We start from the raw sequence: 15078 nt of genomic DNA on the forward strand, positions 1-15078 counted from the left end.
TGATGCCCAAGCATGACCCTAACATGATTTCATATGTTTTGATGTCATCTCTTTCTTTAAGCTGCACAGTATGTTAAAGTAAAAGCTTCTGTTTGAATTGAGTGAACACAGAGCTTCAGTTTTTCTTTTTTACCATATATGTATAGTTGAATACTGATATAGTCTCTCATTCATTTTTGTACTGTTTCTCAATATCTGATTGCCAAAAGAAAGAGATTTCTTATAAAATAGGCTTCAGACCACAGGGCTTGGATTTTAAGATTACATTTTTTTAAATGAGGAGAGAGTGGTAGTTCTGTGAATAAAGTAGCAAGAATAAAAAGGAAGAGACCAAAGATGACATTTTGAAGGAAGTAATTGCCTTGGCATGGCGGTTTTGAGCCCACATTGTTAAGTGGTTTCTGGCATGATATGTGATTTTCCTATGTGATATCCTGAATGTTTACCAGAAAAATTAAAGACACATGCTAAGAAGTCAAGGCAAACCTGTGAGAATGAAGCAGACTTTTTCATTTGCTCATTCATTAAATGTGGATTTATGTGCACACACAGGCACTCATATATGTATACATAATACGTACACTTATAATGTGTATATATACTCCTTAAATATATGTATGTACACATGTGTATATATCTATGTGTGTATATATATACACACACACACACCCCTCTTTCTCTCTCTCCTCTCTTTTCCTCTCCCCCCTCCCTTCCTCTCTCCCCTCTTTTTTCTCCACCGCCATCTCCAGTCTTTCCCCCTTCTCTCTCTCTCCTCTTTCCTCCCTTTCTCCCTCTCTCCCTGACTCGCTCCCTTCCTCCTCCTCTCCCACTCCCTTCTTTTTCTCTCTGCCTCTTCTTCCACTTTTCCTCTCCCCTTCTCTTTCTTCTTCTCTCTCTTGTCTCCCTTTCTCTTTCCCTCTGTCTCTCTCTCCCCATCCTCCCTCTCTCTCCCTCCCCTTCTCCCTCTCTCTCTTTCTCTCTGTCTCTGTAGTATTATGTTGTCCTAAATTCTGTGAGGTGCTAAAGGAAGTAATACAACATATCTACTCTTAAGAGCTTATTTTATGTCAGGAAAGAAAAGGGTATGTTAACATATTGCTATGTAAGCAAAAAAAACCCATTTATTATAATACTAATATTTATGATGATGATAATATAAGGGATGACAGGAAGAGTATATGATTCAGACCCAAAAGAACAATATAAATAAGCACATTTTCAAAAGTTATTAAAAAGAAGAGGCAATGAGAGTTAGAGACATTTGAGGAAGTTGTAGAGGAAGAAAAGGAACAATCAGTGGGGGAAGTGGTGAGACCAAATGTGCTGAGGCTGAAATGGCCTTGGTGTGCTTGGGAGACAGTGAGTACGTGAATCTGCCTGCAGAAGTTGGGAGTGGGGGGAATATTATTAGGATTATTAGGAAGGTAAGCTGAGAACATAATGTCAAGAGTCTTAAATGCTGGCTAATAAGTATCTTAGAAAGTTACTTGAGCAGGAAAGTGATGCAATAAGGTCCTATTTAATTGACAGCTGATTATAGAATGGACTGGCAGGGGAGTGTCTAGAAGTAATATCAATTGTAAATCATCCAAACAAGAGCTTAAAAGAGCCTGGCCTGTAGGTGTCATGGCATATATGAAAAAAAAGAGACACACAGAGAGAAGTAAGGAGACAATAGTTGACAGTTCTGAGTTAAGGCCAAGTTGGTGCAAAAGTAATCGTGGTTTTGGACTGTGAATTTTAAATCACTATAACCAGACTCAAACACATCTTTATTAATCAAAATAGGAACCATTACAATCAACATATTTTTGCCAATGATAAATACGTTTGTTTATTCCTATAGCATAAAAATCTGTGCTTTGGGATTTGATGAACACTTGGAAAGCATTTTCTGCATTTTGCTGGTTGTGGACGCGTTTTCCCTGCAAAAAGTTGCTGAGATGCTTGAAGAACTGGTAGTTGGTTGGCAAAAGGTCAGGTGAATATGGTGGATGAGGCAAAACTTTGTAGCCCAATTCGTTCAACTTTTGAAGCATTTGTTGTGCAATGTGCAGTCGGGCATTGTTGTGAAGAACTGAGCCCTTCCTGTTGATCAATGCCAGCTGCAGGCCTTGCAGTTTTCGTTGCATCTCATTAATTTGCTGAGCATAACTTCTCAGATGTAGTGGTTTCACCAGGATTCAGAAAGCTGTAGTGGGTCAGACTGGCAGCAGACCATCAAATAGTGGCCATGACCTTTTTTTAGTGTGAGTTTGGCTTTGGGAAGTGCTTTGGAGCTTCTTCTAGATCCAACCACTGAGCTGGTTGTTGCGGGTCGTCCTATAAAATCCACTTTTCATCACATGTTACAATTCCTACTAAGAAATGGCTAATGAGGCCAGGTGCGGTGGCTCACGCCTGTAATCCCAGCACTTTGGGAGGCCAAGGCGGGTGGATCACCTGAGGTCAGGAGTTCGAGACCAGCCTGGCCAACATGGTGAAACCCTGTCTCTACTAAAAATATGAAAATTAGCCGGGCGTGGTGGTGGGCACCTGTAATCCCAGCTAATCGGGAGGCTGAGGCAGGAGAATTTCTTGAACCAAAGAAGCAGAGTTTGCAGTGAGCCGAGAGCATGCCACTGCACTCCAGCCTGGGCAACAGAGCGAGACTCTCTCTCAAAAAAAAAAAAAAAAAAAAAGAAATGGTTCATTGTTGTTGCATAGAGTGAGAGAAGATGACACTTCAAAATGACTTTTTTTTATTTTTTATTTTCGCTTAGCTCATGAGGCACCCACTTATCAAGCTTTTTCACCTTTCCAATTTGCTTCAAATGCCGAATGACCACGGAATGGGTGATGTTGAGTTCTTCGGCAGCTTCTCATGTAGTTGTAAAAGGATCAGCTTTGATTGTTGCTCTCAATTGGTCCTTGTTAACTTCTGATGGCTGGCCACTATGCTCCTCATCCTCAAGGCTCTCTTCTTTGCAAAATTTTTTGAACCACCACTGCACTATACATTTGTTAGCAGTTCCTGGGCCAAATGTGTTGTTGGTGTTGTGAGTTGTCTCCTCTGCCTTACGACCCATTTTGAACTTGAATAAGAAAATCGCTCAAATTTGCTTTTTGTCTTAAACATAATTTCCATAGTCTAAAATAAACATAAAATAAAAAGCAAGTAATGTCATTATCAAAAAAAATGAAGTGAGAAATCCTCATTAAAATGATGTATAACATAACCACATTTTTTAAAGAATGTATTCCCATATCAAACAGCAAATTTCAACAACGCAAAAACTGTAATTACTTTTGTACCAACCTAATATAATGGGCAAAAAAGGAGAGAGAATCATAGATAACTCTGTGGAGTTTGCAAACCTGGCTGAGCTGATTTTAGTAATGGCAGATGATGAGTCAGACTTAGTAAACTAGAACATCCTTTTTGTCAACATTATTGGAAAATACATTTTTTTTAATACTTTAAGTTTTAGGGTACATGTGCACAACGTGCAGGTTTGTTACATATATATACCTGTGTCATGTTGGTGTGCTGCACCCATTAACTTGTCATTGAACATTAGGTATATCTCCTAATGCTATCTCTCCCCCCTCTCCCCACCCCACAACAGGCCCCAGTGTGTGATGTTCCCCTTCCTGTGTCCATGGAAATGTAAAATTATTTGGTTTAATTACAAATACTTCTTAAGGAGTTGTGTGCCAGGCAAGAGTGCTTCAAACATGATGAATCAGAGTCTCAAGGTTTATAAACAGATTTTTACAAATAAGATGTTTTGGGAAGCTTCACACTAGTTTAGAATACCTTAACAGAAGAGAATTTGATTATGTATTTGAATGATTCCTCCAAAGCATTCCAACAGAATGGGATAACTGTCCAAAAAAACTTTCTGCAATGATGGAAATGTTCTTTATCTATGCTGTCAAATATGATCTCCACTAGTCCCATGTGGCTTTTGAGCACTGCAAATGTGTCTAGTGCAACTGAGAAACTGGATTTTACATTTAACTTAAATGCAAATTTAAATATCCTCTCATGACCAGTGGCTACGATATTGGACAGTGCAATGCTAAAGGATCTCTAAGTCATCATGTTTGACAATATGTGGTTGCCCTTTTAGTTCAGGGAAGATGTTTGCTTTAGCATGTGTGATTGAAATTCAAATTTAACTTGGCAACAAAAATTGCCATTTGAAAATAAATTGTCCATTTACTGACTCAACAAATATTTATTTATTGTCTATCGGCTTCTAAGGTTAATGTTTGCTGCAGTGGTGGAAACATGGTTGTGGTCCAGCCCTCATGTGGCTCACAACGAGGGAAGGCATTAAAACAAAATCACACACTTGCAAATTGAGATGAGCACCATATAGCAGAATAAAACTCCAGTAAAAGACTATAATGGTGTTCTTAAGTTGGAGATGGTGGGAAAAGGCAGCATTTCAGCAGAAATAAGGAATTAGCTAGGAAAGAGTAAAGGTAGGAACATTTCTAGCAAAGGGCAGTCTTAACCTGTCCGAAAGCATGTTATGTCTAAGGAACTGGAAGAAGGGCTTTAGAGCATACATGACTTATATTTATCCTAGGGAAAGAAAGTAGAGTCTATCTTAGGTTAAAATGTGGTATCTGTGAACTATTTCTTCAAAATGTGCAGCTTTACACATTTCTAACTATCCTTAGATATACTACAGCATTTTATTCTCTCCTTTCTCTTGCAAAAACAGGAAAGTTCTGAGTAATGCACTGAGTATTGTTCTCAATCTTCACTACCTGTCTGTTATGGAATTACGTGCTCAGTCTCTATGCCATGGGACATCGTACTATTTCCCCCTAGAACATCTGGAGTGTATTTCTCCACTCCAGGGCTTGGCCCTGGAGTATTGTTACAGGGCTTGGCCACATGACTTGTTTTTACTAAAGGAGTGGGACTCAGCATGATGTAAGCCTAGGGTAAAAATGTGCTTACAATATTTGGCTTGACCTCTTCCACTTCTTTCATCCTCCATGAAGGGAACCTGTCCTGTTTATATGCTGGTTAACCATGAGGTAAAAACTTAAACTCAGCTGGCAGCCAAAGCTAAATACAGTGAATCTGAGATGAGATCAGATTAGCCCCTGCCATCCTACAGACATTAAAGTGAAACAAAAGAAAGGTTTGATATGAACCACTGAGTTCATTGGGTTATTTGTTATGCAGCATAATTACAACAGAAAGCTGACTAATACAGAGAGATGTTCTTTATCTTCACTGGTTCATTGGCTAATTATCTACCAAAATACAACAGTGCTTGAAGTTTTAGTTTTTCTTTCTCTTTGTTAAAAGAATTTTAGTCATAGAATGAAGAACTTGAGGCTGAGTGTTTTTTGAGGGTTATTTGAAGCAATGAGTGTCTCATACTAGTTTTACTTAGGTGGCCTTGGTGATTACTTTGATGTAATTATTTTAGAGTGACTTGTGGATAATGAGGGAGGCAGAATACATGTGACATGTCTTCCCCATCCTGCAAATGTTATTCATTTAACAAAGTCAGCGGATACACTGGGGAAATATGAATGATATAGCTCTCCTCAGATAATTCTCACAGCCTAGCAGAGGAAATGAACAATTAAGTAAATTATTAAGATAAAGCATGAGAAATATAAAGGTGTAAGGGTGCCCTGAGGATCACTCAAAAGTCATTCCTTCGAGACATTTTTGCTTTTCTTAAATAAGTCAATGTAACTGAATAGTATATCATAAGTGTTTGCAATTATTTTTTCTAATTATTTTCTTCCTGAACACAGTTTAGCCCCTTTCTTCAGCTCTCAGAAGCTTCAGTATCTTGGTCCTCACTTCCCCACCCTTGTACCCACACATGTATTTTCAAGTTGGCTGAAACATTTGATGCTACTTCAGTTTGTACCTAATAATTTTCATCCATAATTCCCCTTAACTCAAGTCTCATAATGGGATTTTAGGGTTTCTACCTCTAGTTATTATTTCTGACAAAGAAATGTGGAACCCATCTTCTTCATTTATAAAAACATCACTGTGATTATATTCCACGGAATGGATAATTCTTTAATTTGATATGACATAATTGATCAAGTGTGTCTGTGACTCTTTCACATGAGGTTTGTAAGTCTTTGCTAATTTACTTTTCTTGTGTCAGCTATTCATAGACTATTCCTTAAGGTTTAGGAGTTTGCACAAAATGTTTTTTTTAAAAGATCTTACATAAACCATTTATAAACTTTGACATAAATTCTGTTGAAATGAAATGAAATAAAAGCCTAGTAATATCCTACTGAATTGTAGGCTAATGATGGAAGAGGAAAAGTATGTGAGGCAAAGTAATTTCTTAACTATTTTTAGTTTTTGACAAGATCCCCTTAGGGGATCTCTTTTGTCTTGTTACCTACATAATTTGGGTGGAACACATAGATCTGGAGAAGCTAGGAAGAAATACCAAAGGCTTGGATCAGTGATCAGCTTCTTATATGACACCATCTGATTTCCCTGTCTTCTTTAATCATGATGGGCCCATTCTTTGTTGGAAGCAGCATAAAGTTGAATTTGGCTTTTATATTCAGTCTGCCAATGTCTCTCTTTTGACTGGGAGTTTAGATCATCCACACTCAAAGTGATTACCAGTATGATTGTATTAAAATCTACTATCTTCTTGTTTCTATTTTTCCATATGCTGTTTTTTAGTTTCCTTTTTTTCTTTCTCTTAAGTTAATTAAATCTTCTTATGATTTCATTTTATGTCCTCTATTGACTTGTTATTTATATCTCCTGTTACCTTTTTTTATTTTGTGATTGCCCTGGGGTTAACAACATACATTTTAATTAATCTGAGCCTGCCTTCAAGCAATATTATACCACTTCATATGCAGTATGAAGAACACTATATTCCCAATTCATCTTTCTCATGGAGAAATGAAGACATGCTAATACTGCCATATGTTTTACTTTTACATATGCTATAAATGTACATAAATTGTCACTATTTTTGCATTAGTTTTCTCATATAGCAATTACAAGTAAGAAAAAATTATTTTACCTTCATTTATTCCATTTCAAGTGCTTTTTCTTTCTTTGTTTAGAGCTGTTTTAACTGTTATTATATCACTTTCTGTAATATTTCTTGTAGAGTATTTCGATAACAATGAATTCTCTTAGTTTTTGTCTAAGAAAGTTTTTCTTCCTTCTTCACTTTTGAAAGGTATTTTTTCTGGGTTTGGAATTCTAATCAGACAGGATTTTTGTTTCAGCACTTTACAGATGCCACTCCTTTGTCTTCTTGCTTGCATGGTTTATGATGAGAAATCTTATCTTTATTCTACTGCAGACAATGTGTCTTTTTCCTCTGGCTGCCTTTAATATTTTCTCTTTATATGCGATTTTCAGCAGTTTGAATATGATTTCCCCAGCATTGTGTTTGTGTATAGGTGTGTGAGTGTATGTTGGTATTTATCTTGCTAGATGTTCTCTGAGCTTATTGAGTCTGTTTTTTGGTGTCTTATATCAGTTTTGGAAAATACTCAGGGAATAGTTACTCAAAAAATTTTAAAAAATCTAAAATTTATGGTGACCTCAGATTGGCATTCCTCCCAAGTATCTGGTGTTAGCAAACTCAAATATTATCTGGAAAAAGGACATTTTATCAGGCCCATCAGATAAATACTTCCCATTATGAAGTTCCTAGAAGCATGAATTTAACACCAAAAATCACCAAATGGATGAGAGAAAAAGCTACCATCAGGGAGGCCAGAGGATCATAAGGATAAGAATGAGAACAAGGGACTGTCAAAATGACCAGGCAAAATTTTTCAACTGAATTCAACTGAAATATATAATAATTGAACCTGTAAACTTAATGAAATGCTAAACAATATCATGTATTGTTGTAGAAAAAATAAACTAGAATGTAAAAATAAATAAGTGACACAGATAAAATGATAGAAAATATAAAAAAGATAGAAGAAAAGGATTAAAGAATGAAAATATCTAATATGCTTATAAATGGATTTCTAGAATAATAAAACAGGAATAATGGAACAAAGGCAATATTTGAAGAGATAATGACTATTTTCCACAATCGATGTAAGGCATGAATTATCAGTTTCACAAAGCCCAGTGAATCTCAAGTAGAATAAATAGAAGGCAACCTATAGTTAGACACATTATTATAAAACTGCAAGACCAAAGACAAGAAAATTATTTTAAAAGCAACCAAGGAAAAAGGGGAAACTACTTACAAATGCCAAAAATAAGGTTACAAACTGACTTTTGACAGCAACAATACGAAACAGAAAACCATAGAATGATATCTTCAACTTTCTGAGAGAAAATTACTGCCAATCTAAAACTGAATATCCTATAAACCCATCTGTGTAGGACAAAGAAAAAAAATCAACATAAAAATGTTACTTATAAATTTCAATTAAAATTTCTAAAATATGCCTTTCTGGAAAAGTAAAAATCTCAAGTAGAAGCTATTTTGATGCAAACAACTGCATGCCAAAAATATGGTACATGTTTATCTAAATAAACATTTACTACATAAATAAATATCTAATTTATAGGTTAGAAAAATAAGATAAAACTAAAGTGTTGAATAAGAAATGTGAAAAGAGAAATAAGTGGCAAATAATTTTAAGGCACTGTTTTGGTCTCATGGAAAAATATACTGATTTACTATATTATATTGAATTACATTTTCTTATTCAGTATTTTAGGGCAATCCCTAAAGAGAAAAAGTAATAGGGGAAAAAATCCAATGGTGAAAAATTAATAGTAAAGAAGGTAAGAAAAGAAAGGGGGAAATGAAAACATAAAAGCACAAAATAAGATAGTAGTAATAAATCCAAATACACCAACAATTAAATAAATGGTTTTAGCCAATTCAAAAATAATAGTCTGAACTGGGCATGTTGTCACATGTCTGTAGTCTCAGCTATTCAGAAGGCTGAGATGGGAGAATTGCTTGAGCCAAGGCATTCACCTGGGCAACATAGCAAGACCTAGTCTCTCTAAAAAAATATGTGTAGAAAACAGAAACCGGCAATATATTGCCTCCGTATGATGTAATTACAATTTAAGAGCATAGGAAGTTTAAAAAAGTGGATGGAAGATGTATTAGGCAAACACTAAGCAAAATCAACTATGAATATGGCAACAGAAGAAAAATAAATAAGTGTTGCAAAGATTGGAAAGGAAGAACCAAATATATCATTGTCCATAGATGCTATGATTGTCTACTGGAAAATCCAAAAGAAACAATAGAAAAATGATTAGAATTAATAAGAGCTTAACAAAGATGCTGGATGCCAAATTAATACATAAAGTAATTGACATTTCTATAGATTAACAGAAAATAAAAAATAAAATTCAAAAGGTGACTTTTAACATAGTAATTCTGTCTATGTATGTGAGTATATATCTCTTTATCCCTCAATCATTCTGTCTATCTCTACTATCTATTCTGGATGATAGATGATATCATATAGGATAGTTGGAATTAAATGTAAATTCAGTAAGGAACCTTTTGAAGAAAAGTATACAATTTTATTGAAAGACATTAAAGAAAAAACTATGTAGAGAATATACTATGTTTGTGGAAGGGAAGTTTTGATATTTTAAAGATATCAAGTCTCCACCAAATAATCTACAGATCCTGTACTGTTCTGATGAAAACACAGTAAGCTATTTTGCAGAACTTTACAAGCTGTTTCTAAACTTTGTATGGAAGAGCAAAGGGTTAAGAATAGCCAGGAGACTCCTAAAGAATATAAATAAGGTGTGCGTGGATGGGTGTGGTGGGGTGGAGTGAGGACTTACCCTTTAAAATATCAAGATTTATTGTAGAACTACTTAATTTATACACAGTGGTATGTTACAAGGATAAACAAGGAGAAAAACATGATGAGAATGTGGAAGAATTCATATAAAGTCCTATATATAAAACAGAGCTGTCAATGGATATCAGTGAGAATGGAATGAATTATTCACTGAGACAATCAGCTATCCATAAGGAAAAAGAAAAACAAGTTGTATCCTTAACTTCACACCATGAAAAATTGCTTATTTTGTAGCTTCTACTACTTCTGAGAGGCTTTTTCCTTCACAGTGACCAATGGGACAATGACAAATGTCTTTACTTTTATTCAAGATAAGAGGTTTTCCTAGAGAGTCATAGTGGAAGCACGCTAAATAAACTGAAGCTACTAAAGAGTAGTAAGCTTTTTAGTAGACAGCAGTTGGTTGTCACATAAAGGGCATTTACAAATACAGGATTCAATTCCCTGGTGATTGTAATATTTTGGAACGCTGGTCACTTCTAAGTACATGGCCTTTCCTTTAAGGAAAGCTTAAGTGGTAATGTTGCTGGTTTACCAAGTGAATTCTGGCAAGTCTTACAAGTATATTTGTAAACTGTAATTATATTATTAAATGTGAAGCTGTACAATTCGCTGCTTTGAAAATAATACTTAGGTAAAAAGCTATCCTCTCTTCTTCTACTAAGTATTGGCTGGAATTGGAGGAGTGATTTTTTTTCTTGCCTGGTTGGTGAATTCAAGTGCAAGTTTTGTTTTGTTGGAGGCTGACATTTTCTCAGAGGAGGTAAGAAATGTTTAATCTCTGTAAGGTACATATAAGACCTCAGAAGCTTCTCTTGACTATGTAACAAGCCATTTATGGTGTGGGAGAAGGAGACAATTTGTCAAAGATATTGGAAACACTCAAAGGAAGGAAGAACCAAAACCTGACCAAGATAAATGTTGGACAAACCCTGTTTTGAGTTCCACCTGGCTGAGGTAAGGAGATTTTTAATAAGTGGTCTAGTGAAGAGTGAAATAATGAATAGGAGATGTCTAGTCTTTTTAGGAATTAAAAAAAGTTCATTCAAATACAGTACACAACACAAATCATAAAAATTCAATTCAGTTTTTACCATAAGCCTAATAGACATGGTACGCACATATACTTCTCAGCTACATGTATTTATGATATCCTTATGCGTCACCTCTGGGGATAGCCTGCAACAGAACCATCTGGGGTGTTTTTTATTGCATCCATATTTTAGTCATAATTAGAAAAACTTTTGTTATCACCAAGTTATAAAAGAATTTACACATTAAAAAGATTTTTTAATAGTAGATCCCTGATTTAATAGTAGTCTATTCTTATGTATGGTGTGAGATAGGGATTTGGTCTTATCTATTTTCAATTAGTAAACCTGTTGGCCCAGCACCATTTATTAAAAGTTAATCTTTAACCTAATTATTTAAGATGTCATTGTCACCATGTACTAAAGTTCTGTGGTTAGTTTGTTCTATTTTTGGACTATTCTATTCCATTGTCCATGATATTGCTGTAAAAATGCACCAAAACTTTCCCATATAAGAAACTTTATAAGTAGGTATGAAAATTAGCATTTTAGATAAATTGCCCAGGTGATTTTCATGTCCACACAGTTGTTCCTTTCCATCTTCTTCAGAAATTTTAACAAATTTTCTTATTACCTTAAGAAAGTAGATTGTTAAAAGATAGCAAATTGTTCTACCAAAAGACATATGCATTTGCCTGTTCATTGCAGCACTATTCATAATAGCAAAGATGTGGAATCAATCTAGGTGCCTATCAACAGTGGATTGGATAAAGAAAATATGGTACATATACATTATGGAATACTATGCAGCCATAAAAAGAATGAAACCATGTCCTTTGTAGCAACATGGATGCAGCTGAAAGCCATTATCCTAAGTGAATTAATGCAGGAACAGAACACTGAGTACCACATGTTCTCACTTATAAGTAGGAGCTAAACATTGGGTATTCTCAGACATAAATACGGCAACAATAGACACTGGGGACTGCTAGAGAAGGGAGGGAGAAAGACAGGAAAGGGGGCACTGGTTGAAAAACTAACTGATGGCTACTATGCTCAGTACTTGGGTGATGTGATCCTTCATACCCCAAACTTACGCCTCATGCAATATATCTGGGTAAAAACAAACCCTAAATATGTATCCCCTAAATGTAAAATAAAGGGGAAAAAGAAAAAAAAAGAAAGTAGGTCATCAGTAGGTACAAAGGATAGATTGTGACCAACAACTTTGTGTAGATAAAGTGGTTCTCCCAGCAGTTGATGTTGAGATTTCATTAAGGAAAGTGCATCATTTAAACAAAAATAGTCTGAGGTCTGTCTGGTTCAAGATAATGGACAACGTGGAAATATTCTCATCTCCTTCTCTGAACCTATTAAAATGGCAGTGAAATATTAAACTAATAAATTTATAAAGCTGAAAGTGGATGGGGAGCGAGGTTGGAAGACACAAGCAAAACAAAGATTCCGTTAATTTCTGGAAGACAGAAGACTACCTAGTGTCTGTATTTATCTATTGCTGCATAAATAATTATCCAAACTTAAGTGACTAAAGAAACAAACACTTATTATCTCACCTGATTTCTGTGGGTCAGGAATTTGAGAGCTGCTTAGATGGGTGGCTCTACTCAGAGCATCTCATAAAGTTATTGTCAAGATGTTACCTGGAAATTAACCAGGGCTGGAAGATCTGTTTTCTAGAAGGCTCATTTACGTGGCTGGCAGATTAGTTCTACCTATTGGCAGGAAGCCTTAGTTCTCCAACAGCCTGGAAAAAAGAAACGTAGCTTGACATTGTACTCTAGAGTGACAAAGTTGATAAATAATGACAACTGAGAGAGGGAGAAGGAAAGCACTATAGTAGAAATAAAAATATTGTTAAAAATGAATATTAATAAAAATTATAATAACATCTGGAAGGTGAATGGATAGACAAAATGCCATAAATATACAATGGCATACTATTAAATGAAAAGGAATAAATTGTCATATATTACGTTAAGGATGAACCTCAAAAGCATTATATGAAATGAAAGCAACCAGACAACATCATGATATTGTATGATTTCATATTTATGAAATGTTCAGAAAAGGCAAACAGAATGGTGGCTGCTTGAGGCTGCATTGGGAGAAGGTATTAACTGTAAATGGTAATGAGGCATCCTGTTGGGGATATAAAATATTCTAAAACTGATTTCTGGTGATGGTTGCATCATTTGGTAAATTTAGTAAAAGTCATTGAATTGTGCATTTAAAATGGATGAATTATAAAAATATGTAAAATGTATCTCAACAGTTGTTTAAAAATAAATGAATGCAAAAAGTAACTGCAAATAATACCCTTATAGTACCATTAATCCTAATAGTGCAGATAAATATAAAATACCAAGTGCTCTGAAAAGAGAGAATTTGAGTGATAGTGTGATTTATGGCATTGTTTAAAACAGACCTTTAAAATGTACTATTTATTTTTCTTAGTTACACATAAAATACATGTTAATTATGAAAATTTTAGAAAGTTTAGATGTGTACAATGAAGAACATACAAATTACCAGTATTTGTCATGCCCAGGATAACCATCATTAATATTAATGTCTATATTTTCAGGTTTTCTTTTCCATTTGTAAAGCAAAATTTAAATGTGCAGAAACTCTTGTAATTTTGATAAAGCTAATTGGAAGCTTTTTTATGATGTCTTGAGAAAATCATTATGGTATGTGATTTTATGTATAAAAGTGTTAACTAACAATAAGGGTTGAACCTGAACTTTGAAAGAAGTATTGAATAAATATAAAAATGGCTGGTTTGACAATGTCAAAGCAAATTTAATTGGTAAATATTAGTTGGATAATTGAATTCTCCCCCACTGTGCCATTGAAATGAACCTTAGAGTCTCCAATCCAAGGCAATCATTTCACAGATGGGGAGAACGAGGCCCAGAAGGCTTGTGAGTTTTCAAAGCTCTCCCAACAATGGGATCAGAGTGAGAACACATACCTCCTCACTCTCTGCCTATGTTCATAACCTTGAACTTGTGGTAGGTCCGGAATTGTGGGAAAAATGTGAAGACCACTTGATGGAATTTCCTGCTGTTCTTGCACAGGGTGCCCCATTGTGAACTCCTCCAGCATTTACAGATGCTACTACTTGTGGAGAGTAAATTTAGACCTTCGCAGAGATGGGGTCACTTTAGCTTGTGGCTTATTTTTGTCTTACTGTAGGTTTTCTCTCTCAGTAGACCAGGCTGTCTTCTTTACCTTTCTTCATTGTCCTTGATTTAGAATCAATGGTCAGTAGGATCAGATGTGGGAGAGCTGTTTGTTAATAAAGCTTTAGAAGTCGTGCAAATGACATCATAACTTTTCTTCATGGGTGAGATATCCTGAGATTGCTATTAGAGAAAATAACGATACTTGTCATATATTTCCTCTAAATAAATCTGGCTTTAATAGCAAAAGTCCATGTTTTCTTCACTTCTGTTTATTTGCAGTCACTCAAACTGACACGTGCTGTCAATATCTCCTCACTGTAAGTGTAAGCAGAAGTATTTAAAGAAAGCGGTATTGTTTTATTTTGGGGTTAGCAATTTTCCAGGGCCCACTGGAAGAAGTGCTTAGTTCTAAAGAATCACATGTGTTTGCTTTGTTCTAAATATAGGCTAAACAGAATGCAGTAGAGCCTGAAGGCTTCAGACCAAACATTTGGAATATTAAAAAAAAAAATCAAGGGAAGCAATATCTCCTGCCCAGAGCTAAACAAATAAGCAGGTTTCTGCTAAATGCAGGAAACAAACTGATGGAGATCAGATTTTCTTCTCAAATCTTTTAGTGGCTTTTTGAAATGTTTCCTTTAAGACTGCAAATCCAGTGTCAGCCTCCAATGCTACAGTAACTCATTGCTATATTGGTAAATGGTAACCAGTGTGTGGTCTTGCTGGACCGTGGGGAAGGGCTGCAATGTAATGGATGTGACTGCTTTAAAAAAGCAGATTATTAGGATTTTTTCTTTGAACTCTGCCCTTTAGAATATTTGGTACATGAATCTGGCATAATGCCAAAGAGCTTCTAATATAAGTCTTTTTGCCTGTGGACTACATTTCCAGGAGAAGGGGAGGGACACATGTAACATGTGGTATTAATATTATTAAGTTCTGTTTTACAGTGTTTCTCAAACTGGAAGCTATAGATCCTTGTGGCCTATAGACATATT

At 35.3% G+C, this 15078-nt stretch overlaps 1 long non-coding RNA gene across 1 annotated transcript in view; it reads left to right on the forward strand.

Moving 5' to 3' along the window:
* The first annotated feature begins 1345 nt into the window (after positions 1–1345).
* CASC20 (cancer susceptibility 20) overlaps positions 1346–15078 on the forward strand; it is a 101728-nt gene continuing 87995 nt past the window's right edge. Inside the window, exon 1 of the long non-coding RNA NR_109953.1 lies at positions 1346–1424. This is a non-coding gene — a long non-coding RNA (cancer susceptibility 20). The remainder of the gene's footprint in view (positions 1425–15078) is intronic.

Source organism: Homo sapiens, chromosome 20, assembly GCF_000001405.40.
Source record: "Homo sapiens chromosome 20, GRCh38.p14 Primary Assembly".
Lineage (NCBI taxonomy): Eukaryota > Metazoa > Chordata > Mammalia > Primates > Hominidae > Homo > Homo sapiens.